This window comes from Homo sapiens, chromosome 5 (assembly GCF_000001405.40).
Source record: "Homo sapiens chromosome 5, GRCh38.p14 Primary Assembly".
Lineage (NCBI taxonomy): Eukaryota > Metazoa > Chordata > Mammalia > Primates > Hominidae > Homo > Homo sapiens.
In genome coordinates, this window is record NC_000005.10 from 116,001,710 (window position 1) to 116,022,706 (window position 20,997).

The 20,997-nt window shown below is 36.4% G+C and overlaps 1 protein-coding gene across 8 annotated transcripts in view; it reads left to right on the forward strand.

Annotated features, from left to right (window-relative positions):
* Window positions 1-20,997, forward strand: part of LVRN (laeverin) — a 65,132-nt gene that overhangs the window by 39,235 nt on the left and 4,900 nt on the right. For all 8 annotated transcript variants that reach the window (NM_173800.5, XM_047416915.1, XM_047416913.1 and 5 more), the window contains 9 exons: window positions 1,126-1,202; window positions 1,532-1,671; window positions 4,203-4,258; window positions 9,032-9,185; window positions 10,665-10,759; window positions 12,711-12,818; window positions 13,543-13,710; window positions 13,919-14,056; window positions 20,682-20,757. In NM_173800.5, the coding sequence (NP_776161.3) occupies window positions 1,126-1,202; window positions 1,532-1,671; window positions 4,203-4,258; window positions 9,032-9,185; window positions 10,665-10,759; window positions 12,711-12,818; window positions 13,543-13,710; window positions 13,919-14,056; window positions 20,682-20,757 (1,012 nt within the window). The remainder of the gene's footprint in view (window positions 1-1,125; window positions 1,203-1,531; window positions 1,672-4,202; window positions 4,259-9,031; window positions 9,186-10,664; window positions 10,760-12,710; window positions 12,819-13,542; window positions 13,711-13,918; window positions 14,057-20,681; window positions 20,758-20,997) is intronic.

The following is a 20,997-nucleotide window of genomic DNA, read 5'->3' on the forward strand; positions in this document are numbered from 1 at the left end:
TTTGTGTATTTGTAGCCATACCCACAACATTAGAATTAAGGCCTTTAGATTCAGTTAGACCTGGGTTCAAATATTGACTTCTCAAAAATTCAAACCTTAGGTATTATTTAAGCTCTGTGAGTTTCAGTTGCCTTATCTATAAAATACATGCAATAGCATGTATCCCAATAGATTGTGTAAAAGTGAAATGAGTATAAAATAGCCTAGCCTTTATCCCTTTCTTCTTCTCTTCCCTTTCTTAATCTATTAGCTGATTTTCAACTGTTTTTGATAGTTTTAATCTTCACATTTCATTGCAGTATCAGCACAAATGAGTAATTAATTTTCAAATACAATCACCAAAATTTTCAGATAGTTCTACTCTTTCTTTAAAGCCTCAGGAAAGAGAAATGGGACGCTCAAAGTTTCCTTCTCCCTGTACTACTCTGTGGTTTTTGAGAAGACCTGTGTGTCTTAGCTATGCAGATAAACACAGACCCACAGTTGACAGTCTTCAAGACACCAGGCTTGTGGGAACTTAACAAGATTGGAAATATTGCCCAAACTCTGAGTAGTGTGTCTCTTGCGATGACGAATGTGCTTCCTGTGATCAGCTACTTCATCCAGGTAGCGTCCAGCAATGTGGGAAGAATGCAGACATTGAATAAATGAATGTCATGGCTGATTCCTGTTGAATAGTTTTCAGATGGGGAGAATGCTTGAGGCTGAAAGTATTTTGAAGTGATTGTCAAGCTTTTCCTTCTAAACTACTTTTCACCTCTCTGGGCATGGACGGATTTAGGTCTGTTTGCAGCATTTGAACTACCCTTGAGTGAAGCCAGGTGTCTATAATTTAACATACACACGCCTTGAAGATTTCAGACACAAGAGTTTAGTAGCTACCTAAGTTATAAAAGGAAGTAAATCCGTAAGACACAACAGGAGAGAGGAGTAAACAATAGCCAAAGTAAAACTGGCTTGTAAAAACAGTGGTGAGTAATCCTAAGAGCAAAGGCCTGCATATCTAGAGAGAATGACCAAAGAAACTGAGTTCTGTGTGCTATTTCATCATCTCTTTAATAGTGGCTCAGAGTGTATGTTTTTATGTGTGAAAAGTAACTAATTTTTTTATTTTCTTCCAATAAGTGACACATGGATTGTCCCTATTCTTTGGATAAAAAATGGAACTACACAACCTTTAGTCTGGCTAGATCAAAGCAGCAGTAAGTAACAAATTTTAAAAACATCTTTATATATATGCATATGTAAAGGCAGGGAATAAAATATTGAAAAGTCTAGCTTTTGAAAAGCCATTTCATTTCAAACTAAAATATCATTCTTGTAGAGCATAGAGTTTTAAAGAAAAGTGTCAAATCAAAAGCCATTATATGTGAAAAATATATAATTACCTGGTAAGAGCAATATATATTTTAGAATTCCTTTAATTTTTTGTTTTGTTGGTTTATTGTTTAGAATCGAGTGTGTAGTATTAATAGGTATTAAGATCTTTTTTAAATGTACCATTTCAAATTATTCCCATATTCCTTTATAGAAGTATTCCCAGAAATGCAAGTTTCAGATTCTGACCATGACTGGGTGATTTTGAATTTGAATATGACTGGATATTATAGAGTTAATTATGATAAATTAGGTTGGAAGAAACTAAATCAACAACTTGAAAAGGATCCTAAGGTAAGGTTACTTTTGATACTTTTAATTAAATATAATTTATAATGCCTTCTCTAGTGTTTTAGAAGTTGAACATTCTGGTGGGAAGAGATTCCACCTTCATTCCCGCCCCTCACCTCCAGGCATGCAAAAGATTTTTTTTTCTTATTCTTAACAAGTGGAGATTTTGATTAAATGTGTTGTCTGTGTGGTTTTTTTTTGTTTTTTTTGTTTTTTTTTTTTGAGACGGAGTCTTGCTCTGTCGCCCAGGCTGGAGTGCAGTGACGCGATCTCGGCTCACTGCAAGCTCCGCCTCCCGGGTTCACGCCATTCTCCTGCCTCAGCCTCCGGAGTAGCTGGGACTACAGGCGCCTGCCACCACGCCCGGCTAATTTTTTGTATTTTTAGTAGAGACGGGGTTTCACCGTGTTAGCCAGGATGATCTCAATCTCCTGACCTGGTGATCCACCTGCCTCGGCCTCTCAAAGTGCTGGGATTACAGGCGTGAGCCACCGCGCCGGCCAAATGTGTTGTGTTTTTGAACATTCATTTTGCTTTTCCAAAACAACCTTTCCAGGTAAGAATCAGGATGCATTTTCCTATTAACCATTAGTTTTGTGAGCTTTGGCAAGTTACTTAAATGTCCTGGTTCCATTTCTTCATTTTAAAACGAGAATATTATTATATTTTATTCATCATGAGGATTAGAGATCATGTAAGTGAAAGTATACTTAAAATTTCTAAACTCATAATAGGTAATCAGTAAATGCTAGAAAATACTAATTTTACTTCTAAAAACATATTTCCACTCTCCTTCAGAAGAGAGAAGTTAATTCACAAAACATCAATAGTCCAATATCACTTTATATTATAAAATAACTATAAGTAACTATGCAGTGTATAAACACTAAAATGTTGGCCAGCTCTAATCAATCAGATTTTAACTGGATTAAACTAAATTTCCATGAGTGGAGCTGGACGCCAGCTTAGGAGTCAGTACAGTTGGCTCTGCTGTGACTTGCTGTGAGCCCGTGGGTGGTTCATTTAGACTCCATTTACAAAACTGGAGTGCTGAACTAAAAGATGTCTCTCTGTTAAGTGTCTCTGTGTTTGAAAGTTCTCTGAGGCACACAGCAATCTCTCTAGCATATTGGTTTAGAGCTTAGGTTCTGGATCAGGAAGACTTGTGTTCCTGTTTTGTTCATTGTTTGCCAGATGTATGGCACATTCGAGCCAAATCTCCCCTTTCTAAGAATATGGGGAAAAAAAACCCCCAAAAAACTCCCTTCAGTATTCCTGGAGGTGAGTGGTGGGAATGGAGGTGGAGTCTCTTCCTAACAGAAAGATCAACCATTAAAAGTCTAGAGAAGGCATCCTGGTTGTACCTCAATTTCTTATTTGTGTAATAATGGGGGTAATATACCAAACTTAAAGGGTTATCGTGAAGATTAAATAAGTTGATATATGTATTATGTTTAACAGAGGCCTGACACAATTCAGGGATTCATAACATGTTCAGTAATTAAAACAAATTAATGGGATTTTGAATAAAACTACAAAGGCCACTTACAATAATATTTTCTTTTCAAATATTTTCAGAGTGTCTAAATTCTTATTACATTTCTAAGGGCATTCTAAGCCATGAAAGCACGAGGTTATGTCATTATAGTAATGATTTATTGAAACCATTGTAGATTTACTTATTGAAAAACAGAGGCAAATTATTTCTACGACATAATTGGTGAGCAAATAAAAGAGAATCTTTATGATTAATATTAATCTAGAAAATGTGTTAGTACTGCCAGAAAAGAAATTAAACTATACCAACTGAAGAATTAAACTTGACTTGCTCGGACCCTTAAAGAAATGCTGTGAAGATAAAGTTTTTGAACCAAACATATCACAGTGCTGAGAGGTGCTGAAGGTATGATGTAGGAGGCCTTGGGCCCCCTTAGGGACTGAGCTGACAGCAGAATCCTGTGGCCTGGCAATGCCAGGGAGTTCAAACAGAAGTCTAAAGAATCACACTGGCAATTGGCCCCTGCCATTCCATGGATGTAAAGGGATCTGTTGGTGGCATTCTGTCACGTTAGTAAAATCTTAAGATAAATACCGTGTGAAAAAATATGGTACCTCAATGTTACCAAAATAGCGCTAAATAATATTTATTTAAGGGCTTCTATGCCAAAAACATCCCTGAAAATAATTTGGATGTTGTAATACAACTTGATGTATACTTGTTTTGGGGAGGCCTTTTAAATTTGGTTGCCTGTTTTATTTTTTAACATGGTATGTTTCAGGAGTATTTTGGCAAAACTTTCTGCCATATTTAAACCTTATGATTGATGTCCAGAGGGTTCATTTATTTCAAAAACATATGTATGATAAATAAATTATGGGGACTGTCCTCAGTAATTGTTGTTTCTCTGCAGATGAGATAAGTCACGTGAAGGTGCTTTATAGGCAGCAGTAATCTTTAAATTGTTGTTATTTTGAAAACTTTGCGGAAAAATGTTCTCATCTTCTTCTGGGCATATTTGGGTCTAATTCTGCAGGCGATTCCTGTTATTCACAGACTGCAGTTGATTGATGATGCCTTTTCCTTGTCTAAGTGAGTATATTTTCTTCTCTCATGGTTTCAGAATATACCTTGAGACCTTTATAAAAATAATAGCTTCATCACTATGAATTTGATTATTTAGTCTATACAGGCCATAACTGATTAAGATTAGGATGAAATTCTGTAGCTGCAATGGAATTTTATAATATAATGAGTTGCTGGAAATAAAAAGACTACCAACTAAGATGTGGCAGTGATTTCTGTTTTCCAAGGGTGATGGCTATAATTTTAATGCAATCTTGCCTGTATTTTAATATATTGCAGAATTATTTATTTTATTTATATTAGATTTACTCAGTGTAAGATATGCTGCTAAGTGTTTAACCAGGTAAATTAATAAATGTTCAGAATTTAAATTTTCAGGCAATAAAATTAAGGAATATATGTAATACATTATCTAGTATTTTTTCTCTTTCTTTAGCCAGCCGTATTGTTTGAATAAATGTCTACTTATTTTATCCTTCTTTCCTCCTTTTTCCCTCTGTGACTTACAGTACATTTCCTTGTCTAATACTTGGCTGAAATTCCTCTCTCTGTCTCTAAGATCACCATGACTTTGCTATTATTGACTACATCCACCTGAAAATGTCATTTTGGCTTCCTGAGACTCTGATATGCAAACCTGGTTCTCCTCATGTATCTGACTCCTCTTCTACTGCTGTGAGCTTCTTAGGACCAATCATGGTTACATTACTTTCTTCTATCTTTTCTTTGATAACTCATTCACTCTAGGGTTTTGGTGACCATTTTATTACGTATCTGTAGAGTGCCAGCAGATGTAAGGTCCTCAGTAAATGTTTGCGGAAGGACATGTTGATGACTTCCAAATCTACATTGCTACTTATCTTTCCCCCTGTCTTAGGTTTATCCTGTGGTCATACAAATACAGTGCCTTAAACACTGAACTTCATTTTTGTCTCCACCTTGCTCTTGCTATCAATTTTTCCCTGCATGTCAAAGTTACTCTTCTTTTCATCACCCAAACTTGAAACCTCAGAGATATCCTTGATTCCTCTCTTTGCTTCATCTTACATGCACAGTCACCAAGTCCTATCTCTTCATTCTTAGAAATGTCTTTTGGAGGCTCACTTTACCACTTTCACTGCTCCCACACTAAGCCAAGCTTTCATCATCTCTTGCCTGGCCTATTAAATTAGCCTCCAGCCTTCGGTCCTTTTGAATTTCATTCTGTCTTCTTTAACACTATTGCAATAAAATTGTTAGACATCAATTTCATTATGCTATTCCAATTGTTTAAATACCCAGAGTACCTTTCCACCTAATCTAAACTCTTCATCCTGACATTCAAGGATCTTCACAGGTTTGAGCCAACTTACCTATTAGGCCCCATTTCTCACTATACAAAAAGGAAATCCCCTGCCTCAGTTAGCTTCATCGGCCCATCACACTAATTCCCACCTTATCTTATTTGTCCTGGACTGCCTTCCTCTTTTTCTACCTATTTTAATCCTATGCATCCTTCACTGCTCTTCTCAAGTTTCTCCTCCATGAAGCCTTCCTTGACTTTTCTATCTTATCCCTGACTTTTATATGTGCATATTTTCCTTCTTTGCTACTTTGTAGTATTCACTGCCTTTGGGACCTTTCATTACTGGTTTCTTATGCATAAGTCTCATCTCTTCATTGAAGCTCCTCAATGGTAGGCAAGTGCAGTGTCATATGTACTACAGGCATACCTCGTTTTATTGTACTTTGCTTTAAGACTTCACAGATATTGCATTTGTTACAAATTGAAGATTTGTGATAACTCTGAGTCAAGCAAGTCTATCAGCATCATTTTCCAGCAGCATGTGCTCATGTTATGTCTCTGGGTCACATTTTGGTAATTCTTACAAAATTTCAAACTTTTTCATGATTGTTATATCTGTTACAGTAATCTGTGAACAGGAATTGATGATGTTATGACTGTAATTGTTTTGGGGTGCAATGAATCATGCCTGTATAAGGCAGCAAACTTAATAATTGTGTGTGTTCTGACTGCTGCACTGGCCAGCCATTCCTCCATCTCTCTCCCTCTTCTTTGGCGTTTCCATTCCCTGAGAATCAGTACTATTGAAATTAGGGCCGGGTGTGGTGGCTCATGCCTGTAATCCCAGCACTTTGGGAGGCCGAGGCGGGTGGATCACGAGATCAGGAGATCAAGACCATCCTGGCTAACACAGTGCAAACCCCATCTCTACTAAAAATACAAAAAAAATCAGCCAGGTGTGGTGGTGGGCACCTGTAATCCCAGCTACTCGGGAGGCTGAGGCAGGAGAATGGCATGAACCCAGGAAGCAGAGCTTGCAGTGAGCAGAGATCATGCCGCTGCACTCCAGCCTGGGTGACAGAGCGAGACTCCGTCTAAAAAAATAATAATAATAAATAAATAAAATTAGGCCAATTAATAACCCTACAATGGCCTTTAGGGGTTCAAGTGAAAGGGGGAGTCCTGAATCTTTCACTTTAAATCAAAAGCTAGAAATGATTAAGTTTAGTGAGGAAGGCATGTTGAAATTGAGATAGGCCGAAACTAGGACTCTTGCTCCACATGGCCAAATTGTAGATGCAAAGGATAAGTTCTTGAAGGAAATTAAAAAGTACTGCTCCAGTGAATACATGAATGATTAAAAAAAAAAAAGTGAAACAGCCTTATTGCTGATATGGAGAAAGTTTCATTGATTAGGATAAAAGATCAAACCAGCCACAATATTCCCTTAAACCAAAGCCTAATCCAGAGCAAGGTCCTAACTCTCTTCAATTCTATTCAGGCTAAGAGAGGTGAGGAAGGTGCAGGAAAAGGTGCTAGTTTAAAGCTAGCAGAGGTTAGTTCATGCAGATTAAGGAAAGAAGCCATCTCCATAACAAAGTACAAGGTGAAACAGCAAATGTTGATGTAGAAGTTATAGTAAGTTATCCAGAAGATCTAGCTAAGATAATTGTTAAAATGGCTGCACCAAACAACAGGTTTTTCCATATGAAACAGTCTTATATTGGAAGAAGATGCCCTCTAGGCCTTTTATAGCTAGAGAGGACAAGTCAATGCCTGGCTTCAAAGTTTCAAAGGACAGGCTGACTCTCTTGTTAGGGGCTAATGCAGCTGGTAGCTTTAAGTTGAAGCCAATGCTCATTTACCATTCTGTAAATCCTAGGGTCCTTAAACATTATGCTAAATCAACTCTGCTTGTGCTCTGTAAGTGGAAAAACAAAGCCTGGATGACAGCACATCTGTTTACAGTATGGTTTGCTGAATATTTTAAGCCCATTGCTTAGATCTACTGCTCAGGAAAAAAAAAGATTCCTTCCAAAATATTACTGCTCATTGATGATGCACTTGGTTACACAAGCACTATGATGGAGATGTACAAGGAGATTAATGTTGTTTTCATGCCCACTAACACAATATCAATTCTTCAGCCCAGGGATCAAGGAGTAATTTCTGCTTTTAACTCTTATTATTTAAGAAATACATTTTGTAAGGCTATAGCTTCCATAGATAATGATCCTTCTGATGAATCTGGCCAAAGTAAATTGAAAATCTTCTGGTAGGGATTCATCATTCCAAATGCCATTACGAACATTTGCAATGCATGAAAGGAGGTAAAAAAAATCAATATAAACAGGAGTTTTGAAGAAGTTTTCAATCCTCATTGGTGACTTTAAGGGGTTAAGATTTCAGTAGAGGAAGTCACTTCAGATACAGTGGAAATAGTGATAGAACTAGAATTAGAAGTGAAGCCTGAAGATGCGACTGAATTGCTGCAATCTCATGATCAAACTAGAATGGATGAGAAGTTGCTTCTTATGGATGAGCAAGGAAAGTGGATTCTTGAGAAAGAATCTAATCCTGGTGAAGAAGCTATGACCATTGCTGAAATGACAACAAAGGATTGAGAATATTACGTATACTTAGTTGTCAAAACAGCAAGCAGGATGTGTGAGGGGATTGACTCCAATTTTGAAAGAAGTTTTGCTGTGGGTAAAATGCTATTAAACAGCATCGCATACTACAGAAAAATCTTTTGTGAAAGGAAATTGAGCAATTTGGCAAACTTTATTGTTGCTTATTTTAAGCAATTGCCATAGCCACCTCAGCTTCAGCAACCACCACCCTGATCAGTTAGCAGCCAAGGTTATGACTTGCTGAAGGCTCAGATTGTTGTTAGCATTCGTTGACAATAAGCTACTTTTAAATTAAGGTGTGCATACTGTTTTTCTTAGACATAATGCCATTGCTACTTAATAGGCTACAGTATAGTGTAAACATAACTTTTATATGCACTGGAAAATCAAAAAAATTGTATGACTTGCTTTATTATGATATTAGCTTTATTGTGGTCTGGAACAGAATCCACAATATCTCTGAGGTATGCCTGTAGTTGGTGTGCACATCAGTAGCTGTCAGAGCATTAGATAGAGAATGACTTCTAATTAATATTTGTTGAATGCAAATTATGCTGTCATAAGAATGCATACAGAATGCATAACTCTTCTATTTCCTAATAATCAGTCCAACATTTGGCCTGAATTTTCTCTAGCCTTCAAGACTTTGGACACTTGAAAGTACCAAATTGAAATGGAAGGACTGTCAACTTTGCTTGGGTTTCATCCTTTCTATAAGATGGGACATTTACCTTCTCGTTTCTTGACTTATTCACATGCCTTATTGAAGTCATGCATTGAAACATGGAACAAATATCGAACGTATGCAAATTACTTAGCAAGTGAAGGTTTTTTGAGTGTGTGTGTTTTTAAATCAAACAGAAACAATTATATTGAGATTGAAACAGCACTTGAGTTAACCAAGTACCTTGCTGAAGAAGATGAAATTATAGTATGGCATACAGTCTTGGTAAACTTGGTAACCAGGGATCTTGTTTCTGAGGTGAACATCTATGATATATACTCATTATTAAAGGTAATTTCATTCTTTCTTATGTAGTTTTTAAATAAATCCTCTCTTCTTCTTTTCATATTTTAGCCAGCATCTGTGAGACAGGTCTTTTCCAAAGTAATAGTCTTAGTTCCATATATATATATATATATATATGGAAGTATATACATTTCCTTAACAAGGGCTGATTGATCTTAGAAGAAAATACCTTAGTCATAGACCTGGTCTAGGAGATGAGTGAGGTTTGGAAGGGTACTTCATTCTTGGTGAAGTGACAGTATGTCCTAAGAAACCAGAAGTGGATGGAAATGGTATGCCTGTTTTTTTTTTTTTAGGGAAAAGGATAGTATTTATTAGCAACTATTTTCCTAAGAGATTGTTAGGCAGCCAGAATGAAATGTAACAACTCTGTGTTTATAATTTCAATATTCTGACTCATAGGAACAGCACTTAAATCCAGAGAGATATATTCCAGAAAATGTAAAAATTTGAAGATGCTTTTGATATTAGGAAAAGAAAGAGAGAAATTAGAATTACTGAACAGAGAAATGACATGCCATAATAAATGAAAAAAAAATTTCCATTTTTAGATCTTAAACAGTAATTATAGGAAAAAATAGCAAAGGTAAAATCAAAGCGAAAGTTAGGTAGCCCTCTTTGGGGAGTTAGGGGTCACACAAACCAAAAAGTATGTTAGGTAATGATTTCAAGTGAATTTCTGGACCATTCAGAGGGTGAGATCACAAATACGTCTAACGGCCCCAGACTTTCTTTTTCCTAGTGGCCGAAGTACCAATGGGAATTAAGCTGAGCTTGGGATGGTGATTAATAAAAGAAGGCACTAAAATTTTGGTGGGATTGAGGAGGCTCGTTGATAACATCTGATGACTTGTTCTGGGTAAAGAAGTAAAACTAATATTTGTTTTCAAAGAATTTCAATGAACAGCAGCTAGTTAATTCTTAGGGATGTATTAGTAAATGTCTAACTTTTATAATTTTATATTTACCAGCTAATAGCTTATATTTATTTCAAAATTAGGGCTTCAGTGTGTCCAGGACATAAACCAGTTCTTTTTTTTTGAGGAATGTATACTTAGCATGGATGTTTTATGGTAGAAAGGCTATTTTATATTTTTACATTTCTTCTCTATTTTGAACATAACTGGAAATGTATGGGATGATGTTAAATGATCATTATAGCCAATATTTTTTGAGTTCTTGCTTTGTGCCAGGCAATGTGCTTGCAATATATTATATTATTTAATCCTCATAATACACTGTAACATTGGTATTATGGTAAACCACATTTTATGAAAAATGGAACTAAACCGAAAGAGGTTAAAAAATAAACCAGTTATATATTTAGTAACAGATAAAGGTAATTTCTGAAGAAATATCTGCCACTTGTCTATCAATGTCTTTTCAGATAAATAAATAGAAACACAGTGAAAATTCAGTGTTTGCAAGCCAGAACTAACAGTGTATTTTCTTTATTGTTTATAGAGGTACCTATTAAAGAGACTTAATTTAATATGGAATATTTATTCAACTATAATTCGTGAAAATGTGTTGGCATTACAAGATGACTACTTAGCTCTGTAAGTATGTTTTCAGAAGTGATAATTGAATAAAATGCATTCATATTAATAGGCTTCCAGAAGTAATAAAATAAAATCTTCATATCTGTTATTCATTGAGAGATTTTATATGCTATTATTATTTGAGAACAATAGCTCAGAGGTTGGTGGGCTACATGTATTCTAACAGAAGTTAATCGTTTGAGATCTTAATTTACCTGCAAAGCACGTGCATGTACACATAGGAGCTTATAGCTCTATATTCTCAAAGCCTAGACTACTGGTTGAAATTATAAATGTGTCCTACTATTGGTGAAGATGTACTAAGCAAAGCTAGCCTATACCAGTGAGTTGAAGGGCGTGGGAAAGCCACAGGGGAAAAGGTCCCATCTGTATTTTATTATTAACAGAAATTCAGTCATTATGCAGGTAAGATGAAGTAGGTTGACAGTGATATAGATCAGTCACTGCTATAGGTCTGTGAGCACAAGTTAGTTTCACAAATGACTTTCATATTACTGGTTTGGTGAGGAGAGTAAGCATATTGTCATGGTGGTCTAGGAAGGAGGCAAGAGGCAAAATGGGGTGGTAGTATTTCTGTCTTCCCTGTGCCCTAAGTTTTGTGTGTAGGATGGTCTCTAGATATAGGGAGGGACTCTGTAGCCAATAACGGTATAGGGATTATACCTACAACTTCTGGTAAACATCAGGTTCAAATCAATTAGACCAAGCAAGAAATACAAAATATACAAAGTATGATTATTCTGTCTCAATAGTACTCTTCTGGGAGGGCAGAAATTTTAGTGCTAAGGGATGTGATTAGAAGGACATAAAATGTAATGCATGAGTAGGTGGACAATGGTAAGGACTAGCTGGGATCAAGAATGGTTAGGCAATCTGTATGAATGAGTGGGAAGGCAAAAGTGTGCTCAATCAGGCAGCACATTTGTTAACCAGACATTTCCTTGGCTCTCCTAAATTGGACTGAAGTAGCCTACTTTTTATAGCATCCCAGGGACAGTTCTCTTCAGAGAAGCTCTAGGGAGTTAGACTGCACTTCCACAGAACTCCAGCTTGTTGCTACCGGCTTGAGATTGGGATGGGTGAGGAGAGGGGGTGAGTAGAGTATGTAAATGAATGCCTAGAACTGTCTCTCAGCGGACCTCCACCCTTGCACATTCCTCTTCAGCTTATCAGAAGGTCAGGCCAGGCTGGGTTGAAACTGGAGGACGGAGTAACAGAGATTTGGCGCTTGCGTTTTCTGGAAACTTATGACCAATTTGGGTTTCTTTACCCTGACCGCAAATCTGGAGTAGGGACCACAAGGCATCACTTACCTGGATTTATTATTGGTCTTCACTGTATTCTTTTGAACTTATTTTGTTTTGAAGTACAGTGTACACCCCTGCTCAGCTGTGAAAACAAATCAAACCAACCAAACACCTTTATTCTTTTCCTGAACATGTATGTAACAGCCAGGAGGAGTAGAAGAAACACACTAAAGCAAAAGAAAACAAATTGTAGAAGGAGAGAAATGAACTATTCCCTTTCCCTTTCTTTTATAGAGAAAGAACTTTATTTTAAAGTCTATTAGATTAGATACTCTGAAATCATTTTTTATCCATAAGGCAATTGCAGTAAAAGACAGGAAAAATAAATTGACAACAGCTGTGGAGAGTGTGTACACCCATGTGTGTTTAAGGGAGATGAAGGATGGCAGTAATTTGTTTCTAACTTTCAAAAAATACTGGCTTTAGGAGCTCTTTTTGGTGCCTAAGAGCCTCTCAGTAAATATTTCTCTGAATCTTAAATACATCTGTCATCCACAAAAACAATTTTTTAAAACAAACCTGATGTCATTGAAAGGATATTTAAAAATACCCATCTTTTTATGAAACACATATTCTTGGAGGCAGAGAAAATGAAGGTGGTAATGCAAAATAAACTGTTTTTCTTTGACTTTTTCTTCAAGAATATCACTGGAAAAACTTTTTGTAACTGCGTGTTGGTTGGGCCTTGAAGACTGCCTTCAGCTGTCAAAAGAACTTTTCGCAAAATGGGTGGATCATCCAGAAAATGAGTAAGAGTAATATCATAATTCCTCTTGTTTTTGTCCTATTTTAGCACCAGCAATTTCCCTTTTTGATGTACTCACTGTGGGAATGAGTGTTTTGCTTTCACTTGGTTAGGCGCTCTCTCCTACTATTCTTTTCAAATACCTTTTTTAAAAAACCAGTGTTTAATGTGGGTCTGTGTATAACGATAGACTAGAATTTATACAATGAATTGTCACCTAGGACCTCTCATTGCCAAAGCACTCTTCCAATAAGCACTTACTTTGAGCTGTCTATGCTTGTTTTGAGTCTTAATAGGTTGTTCTTTATGATTGTTTATGATTGTTATATCTATGAGTGCAGCAGAGCACCTCTCTCTCCATCTCTCTCTTAGTTTGTTGCCTCACTGAGCTCTGAAACTCTCATTTTGGTTTTATTACCTTTGATATAGCACCTCGGATGGACTCTTAGGAAACATGATAATCAGATACAAGACCAACTTGTATTATCAATATACTCTATACTATTCTAATTTACTTCTTTCTTAAAGCCCCTTAGTTTGGAATTTGATGATCTCTTCTCATGGAACTAATGCTAATGACAGTTCTGATAATTGCCTCTCTAGATTCCTACTTTTGACCTTTATATCTGTGACTATAAATATTTTTTCTAGATTCATACTTCTAAAATATGATAACCTGGGTAAACATAACTACTATGAAAAATATCATTTTATGTTATATTTTACAGAATACCTTATCCAATTAAAGATGTGGTTTTATGTTATGGCATTGCCTTGGGAAGTGATAAAGAGTGGGACATCTTGTTAAATACTTACACTAATACAACAAACAAAGAAGAAAAGATTCAACTTGCTTATGCAATGAGCTGCAGCAAAGACCCATGGATACTTAACAGGTGATTATGGTCAACTTACCTTGAAAGTTTCTGTTATAGGAATTAAATTAATAAAGGAAAAAAAATAGAAATGTGCTAATGTAAGTATTAAAACGTTGCGTATTTGTGCTTCACTACCTTAGAACCATGGGATTTTGATTTTGTTTATTTAAATTAACTCTTTATGTTGGATGTTTAAAATGTATTTTTTGAAAATGCACTTTTGCAGATATATGGAGTATGCCATCAGCACATCTCCATTCACTTCTAATGAAACAAATATAATTGAGGTTGTGGCTTCATCTGAAGTTGGCCGGTATGTCGCAAAAGACTTCTTAGTCAACAACTGGCAAGCTGTGAGTAAAAGGTAAGAAGGAAAGTGAGACCTTTCTTTCATTTAGGCCACTGGTTTGGCACTGGAAGCTCAGCTTTAGTCTAGCTTGGAAGCTCAGCTTTAGTCTAGCTAGGCCACAAACGTCCTTTGCATTGACTAGAAAAGTTATCATTTTTCCTTTGTTTAGTCTCACTACAAACTGCCTGTGTTATGGAAGAGCAATACATGAACTTTTAACTATGGCTTGAATATTTTTATCTTTTAGTTGACAACATGCCATACTCATAAAACAGTTGCCTATTCTACTTCTGGTGAATTTGCCTTAGTTCACTTTTCTTGCAATTCTGCTACAAAATGTTTCAGACTCAAATTAATTTGCTTTCTACATCTTATGCATTTATTTTTAGGGCTTAGTTTATATTCAGCAGTTTTGTTCAATTTTGCTAATAGTTTTGTTTGAATAGACTGTTACATTATTTATGGATTGTAAGAAGGAAATAAAAGTTCAACTTAATAACTAAAATTTTATTTATAGTCAAAATGACACAGGAATATTTACTTAGTTCTTTATACATCTGAATATTTAATTATCACTAATTAAACAGACATATTTGACATGATAATATGTATGTCACTAGTCCTCATGTAATGATGAAGGTAGTATAAAATTATAAGTAAAAAATCCTTATGCCAAATTAAATTTTATATTAATGGTGTGGAAAGTATTTATACTGAATTTGCTAAAATGTGACTGATCACTAACAAGTTAGCACTTAGTTTTTCTGACGCACATTCCACTGCATGCTACTTACGAAGATGGGGATGATAAGCCTTCTGGGACAGATGGAGACAATAGCTCAGTCAGTTCTGAAATTGTTTTAACCCTCACTTTTGCAGACTCACAGTGCATTTTAGCCTTATAAAGTCTACAAGAAGCCCTGCAGAAGGAAACCTAGAGTTTTCCATACAGTTTGACTACATAGCGTCTTCTAGGTATAGTTCTTCCAAACTCCAGCTTGGGATATGCTGATGTAAACAAAACGTCATTTTGCCAGTAGACCAGTTGTTCCAGAAGAAAGACTGATGGGAGAAACAAAATTTTCCAACCCTCTCATTTGGTTCTGGAACTGTAAAAAAAAACCCATTAGTTAACATTTAGGCCTTGTTTTCTTCTCTATAGAGTAATAGATGTATTTGATAAATTCTAAGATTCTTTCTAGTAATAAAAAGTTTTAGTCCTTCTACATCAAGGTGCAGTTCAAATTGTTATTGGAGATGTAAAAGGATTAGGACTTGGTATCTGATAAATGCTGTAGAGGAGAGATGGCAAGGGCTTTTGGGGATTTAAGGGGAAGAAAGGGATGTGCATGTGATTTGAACAAGCACAGTTGCAAATCTCCTCCTTCTACCTGGAGGACAGAACACCAGGAAATGCCTGGAGGCAGAGTTGGGAGGCCAACTTGGGACTAGTCACAGTAACTGGCAAGAGCTTAGAGCACTGGAGAGGAGTTAGGAGTGGGAAGGTAAGTTGAGGCTCAGAGAGAAGGACAGGGGTTAACAGGCCTTGAATATCATGTGAAGCAGTTTTATTTTGTGTGCTCTTCATTGGTGATGTCTTGTTTCTAACTGGTGTCGTATGTGAAGCACACACAGGCTGTCCTGATTATGACAATGTGTTAACACTATTGGAGGTCAATTCTAGAATCGGGGCATGGGGATAGACTTAACTAGAGCAGTGTAGCAAAGTGGAGGTTTCTTCCTCTAAGAACTATGGAAAGTGTCTCTTCATTACTGTCCTTTGTCCTTTTATTTATTGTGTTTAGTTTTTCATGTATCCACTAGATATATGGTATGTCAAAGAGTTAAGGCAATAGAATCTAGAATCAGATCAATCTTAGGATGAGGAGAGTGCTAAATATGTAACCTTAAACAAGATTTTTAACCTAAGCTTCAGCTTTCTCATTCATAAAGTGAGGATAATAATGAATAGGCTTTAAGATAATTTAATAATGTGCTATTTAAAGTGATTGGTACATAATAAATGTTTAATGTTCATTATTATTATCTTACTGAGATAATATGATGTATCTGCTTTATTACAAGTCCCTATATCATTCACTTTATTTCTTTTTCTCAATATTGTCAGTTTCTATTTTTATGAAATTTATAACATCCCTCAGCAGTATTAGAGTCTCATGTTTAGAATGAAACACACATTAATGTTGTTCTTTAAAATAACATGTTTAGTCTAGGCATGGTGGCTCGTGCCTGTAATCCCAGCACTTTGGGAGGCCAAGGCAGGACGATCACTTTAGCCCAGGAGTTTGAGACCAGCCTGGGCAATATAGAAAGACTCTATTTCTACCAAAAATTTAAAAATTAAAATAACGTGTTTATATATGCAATAATTACAGTTTTCACAGCCACCCATAAAATAATTGCCAATTAATAACCAAGACTCAGAAGTTAAATTACTTAAAGTCAATACCTAGTAAACAAAAGAACTTGAATTAAACCCGTATCCCCTGGCTCTGATTCCCGGTTCTCTATTTACTTTCTCCTAAGTAAGAAAATGCATACTTCTTAATTATTTATTTTATGAGAGTACTACTGAAAATATTTAATCTTTTAATGTGTTCTTAACTAATGCCTCATCTACATTTCCGGTGGCTCACGCCTGTAATAATCCCAGCACTTTGGGAGGCTGAGGCAGGCAGATCACCTGAGGTCGGGAGTTCGTGACCAGCCTGACCAACGTGGAGAAACCCCGTCACTACTAAAAATACAAAAGTAGCCAGGCATGGTGGCACATGCCTGTAATCCCAGCTACTCAGGAAGCTGAGGCAGGAGAATCGCTTGAACCCGGGAGGTGCAGGTTGCAGTGAGCCGAGATCACACCATTGCCCTCCAGCCTGGGTAGGCAACAAGAACAAAACTCCATCTCCAAAAAAGAAAGATATGCTATATCTTTTAAACATTTTGAGATGCCAAGATTTGTTCAAATATTTTAAATTTGTTTTACTTAGAAAGCTCATCTTATGACGTGATTTATTTATCTCAATTCCAGAAAATGTTTAAATAAATGAAGTGACTTTTCAGTTGATTTTTAAGAAATTAATAAACTTAATTTTTTAGGGTAGTTTTAAGTTCACAGCAAAATTAAGCAGACAGAGTTCCCATATATCCCTCTCCCCACAGAGACACAACCTCCCCCTCTATCAACATCCTGCATCAGAGCCACACATTTACAGTCACGAGTTGATTAACAACAGGAATACATTCTGAGAAATGCATCCTTTGGTGATTTAGTCATTGTGTGAACAGCATAGACTGTACTTACACAAACCTAGATGGTAGAGCCTACTACACACCTGGGCTCTATGGTATAGTCTATTGCTCCTAGGTTACAAACCTGTACAGCATGCTACTGAATACTGGAAGCAGTAGTAACACAGCGACAAGTATTTGTGTATTTAAACATATCTAAACATAGAAAAGATAATGTGCTAAAAGGCATTGTGCTACAATGTTACAATGACTATGACATTGCTAGGGGATAGGAATTTTGTAGCTCCTTTTTAATCTTGTAGGACCTCCCTCATACATATTGTCCATTGTTGACTGAAACATTGTTATGTGGCTCATAGCTGTACTATAATTGATGAATATAAACAGGCACATCATTATCACCCAAAGTCCCCAGTTTACAACAGGGTTCACTCTTGGTGTTGCACATTCTACGGGTGTTGATGTATTAATGTATAATGATGCATATTCACCATTGTAGCATCATACAGAATACTTTCATCCTTCCCTCTGCCCATAGTCAGTTGCTTTTTTATGAAAATGTTTGAATAATCTACTTCTTATTCCAGAAGATTTCATTTTATTTTTGTTTTTGCTTTTTAATGTGTAGAGTTTTTGGTTGCTAGTTTGGTCTTGGCTGTGGGAGCCAGAATCATCATCATGAGTACGAGCAGAGGGGCTTTGCGCCCCTCCCATAAGGTGGTATCTTGCTGGGATCTTGTGCTCCATTTCTACAGGGTGAGAGACAGACTGGCAGAGGCAGCTTGCCTAAATGCAAAAACAAACAAATACCATCTCAGGTCCAGCTTGGCCCTGGGCATGAAGTGACCAGTGCTGTGGTTTTGAGTACATCTCTCCCTTGTCTCAGAGCATTCATGGGCATATGTCTCACAGTGACATGCAGGCAAGCTCACAGACATCGTCTCCACACCAAGGCACATGTTGGAGTTGAGTACATCGCCAATAGCAGTGCAGGAACCGCTGCTCCTTTCAGCCAGGCCCAGAATTCTTCCTAGAAAGCCTAATCTGGAAATACATTTTGGAATATTTGATTAAATAAAACAACTTTTGGCTTGGTCTTGGTCTTGCCCCTCACTCTCATGTACAGGGCATTATACTGGTTGGTGTGGGAAAATTTAGTTAATTATTGGGCCAAAGATGATCTCTTGAATACTCATTCCAATGAGAAAGACTCCATTGGTCATAAAGCTACTTTCAAGTTACAGAAAAGTCAGTAGGTACACATAGCTATGAATAGGTCCTATGAAAGCATGTGAATAGTGATGAAGCAATAGTATTTTTGTGACTTTCCACTGGATGTGGTAGAAGCATTATTTGTTCCGTTATCATCTCTGTTAAATGGGCTTCACAGCATACAGAAAAACCACTTTTATTTGAATATAGAATACAGAGCATGATCAGTTTTAAACTCAACCTGTCCAAAATGAATCTTACCCTCTTCACTAAGCACTTGATTTTTTTTCTCCACATGTTATTATATAGCCTAAAGTCTTAAGCTTAAAAACTTGGAATTGTTTTCACTTCTACTTGGTTGTATTTCATGATGGGGAACACAGCCAAAAAGGCTAAACAGGAGCACAAGCAAAGTGAGAAGTTATCAGAGTGGAGGGTCCAAGCACTGGGGGGCCTGTTCCCATGGCATGGATCAGGCTGGATGCCTTGGTGTTCCCATGCTGGCCTCGTGGGCATCCTTGCCAGAAGGAATCTGACATGGCAGAGGACATGAAGGGAGGGGTAATGTGAGAAGAAGGAGAGGCAGAAAGGTGAGCCAGACTGGAGTACCCAAATCACTGTTCCCACACTAACGTTAGATGTTATCAACTTTTTAGAAAGGATTACTATATTGAGTCGTATTGGCTTTTGACTTCATATTAATTAGAATGTATTTGAACACCGGTGGGGGTAAACTATTCGTAATGCAATTTTGTTGAGTAATATTTGAAAGAGATTGCTCTCTCAACAAGAATGATAAATCATCTCTGTTTCAAAAATAACCCCTGTTGAAGTTGACAAGAGCAGGAAGGGATGAAGTTTGCCAGGTAATCTAATAGGTGCTTCCATATACATTTTCTCATTTATGCACCAGAACAATGCTTCTAAGTATCTGTTATTCTCCATTTTTACAATTTATAAATTGCCCAAGGTAATGTCAAATCCAGCCCTGCCTCCTCGGGTAAACTTTCTCCTGTGTCTGGCAGAAATTCACACATTTAGCACCATAGGTAGGTTTCCTCTGTTTTCCATTTTTATTTTTAAGGTTGGAATTTGGGTTCTTTGGAACTCAAATTTCTTGAGTCATTTTATAGATTTTTGCTGCCTAGCTGGCCAGTTAAAATAGAGAACTAAGAAATGTTTCTTCTTTCTTCATAGAAACAGTTTCGCTTGCCTCAATTATATGCAGAGTTATATTGTCCTTCACGTTGCTCAGGTAGACCCAGTGTAAGTTACAGCTAGAAAGTTAGAAAAACAGCAGCACTATTTTCCCTCACCTTTATTAGTATATTATGCCAGAGTTAACTCTTATCATTTTTAATTTCAAGTACATATTTTTGAAGTAAATCAATTGTATATATTAACTATTCAACTGTCTCTTGGTCAGTCCATTATAATAACCCTATTTTAATTTTTCTTTCCTTTTTAATGCACCCAAAGTCTTTTATTTACTTTTTTAACTACAGCCACACTTTGAGCAGGTAAGTGTCTGCTGTTTTTTCATAGCAATACTTCACAGCTATTTTAAGATTTTTTTTTTTCTAGATATTCAGGGACACTAAACTAGAGGGGAAGTTTCCATGACCACGCCTATTGAAACAAGCACAGGGAGAGCCATGGTGCTCAGCCTTCAGGGTCACCAACATTTAGAGAACATCAGAAGATATTAATCTTCTCTCCAAAAAGCACGCATAAATACAACATTTTTAAATACACGTTCAGGGGGCTTTAGTCAGCAGTTCTGAAATGGATCCTCTATGAACTACTGTTTTTTAAGGGGCATAATTTATATATTTATTTATTCCCTTAGAAATTGTATTGATTTGAGACTTGTGACATGTATTCCAACTACCTCATTTTAAAAGACAATTGTTTTTAAGAAGAGCTTTTTAGATTTAGATAATAGATTTGTGTAACACATATAAGTATTTAACTTCCTTAGTGTTAATAGGATTCTCTATTAAAAGATGAAGCTAAACTAGTTCATACATGTTTTTACTTAGATTTGTGACATAGGAATTAATAGGGGCCATACACTTGACCTTCATCTGCTATATAAAATATAGCTTTATTTTGCAAAATGCTTTCCACCCTTGATTAACATCTTATTGCCTTGTAGGTATGGAACACAATCATTGATTAATCTAATATATACAATAGGGAGAACCGTAACTACAGATTTACAGATTGTGGAGGTAAGTACTTTAAATATTATGAAATACAATGATAATTTGGAAACCACTTTTTATGCAATTTGGACTTGCTAAAATTAAAAATAATATGCTTATCTGAATTATTACATTCTATGCTTCTATTGGTGCTGTATCACTGTGAAAGAAGTGTTTTTAATTGTATCCTCCTCTGAAATAGAGATCACCTGTTCATGGAGGGTGGCACTTCATCCTCTCTCACCTGAATGCAGGGGACTCTGGCCC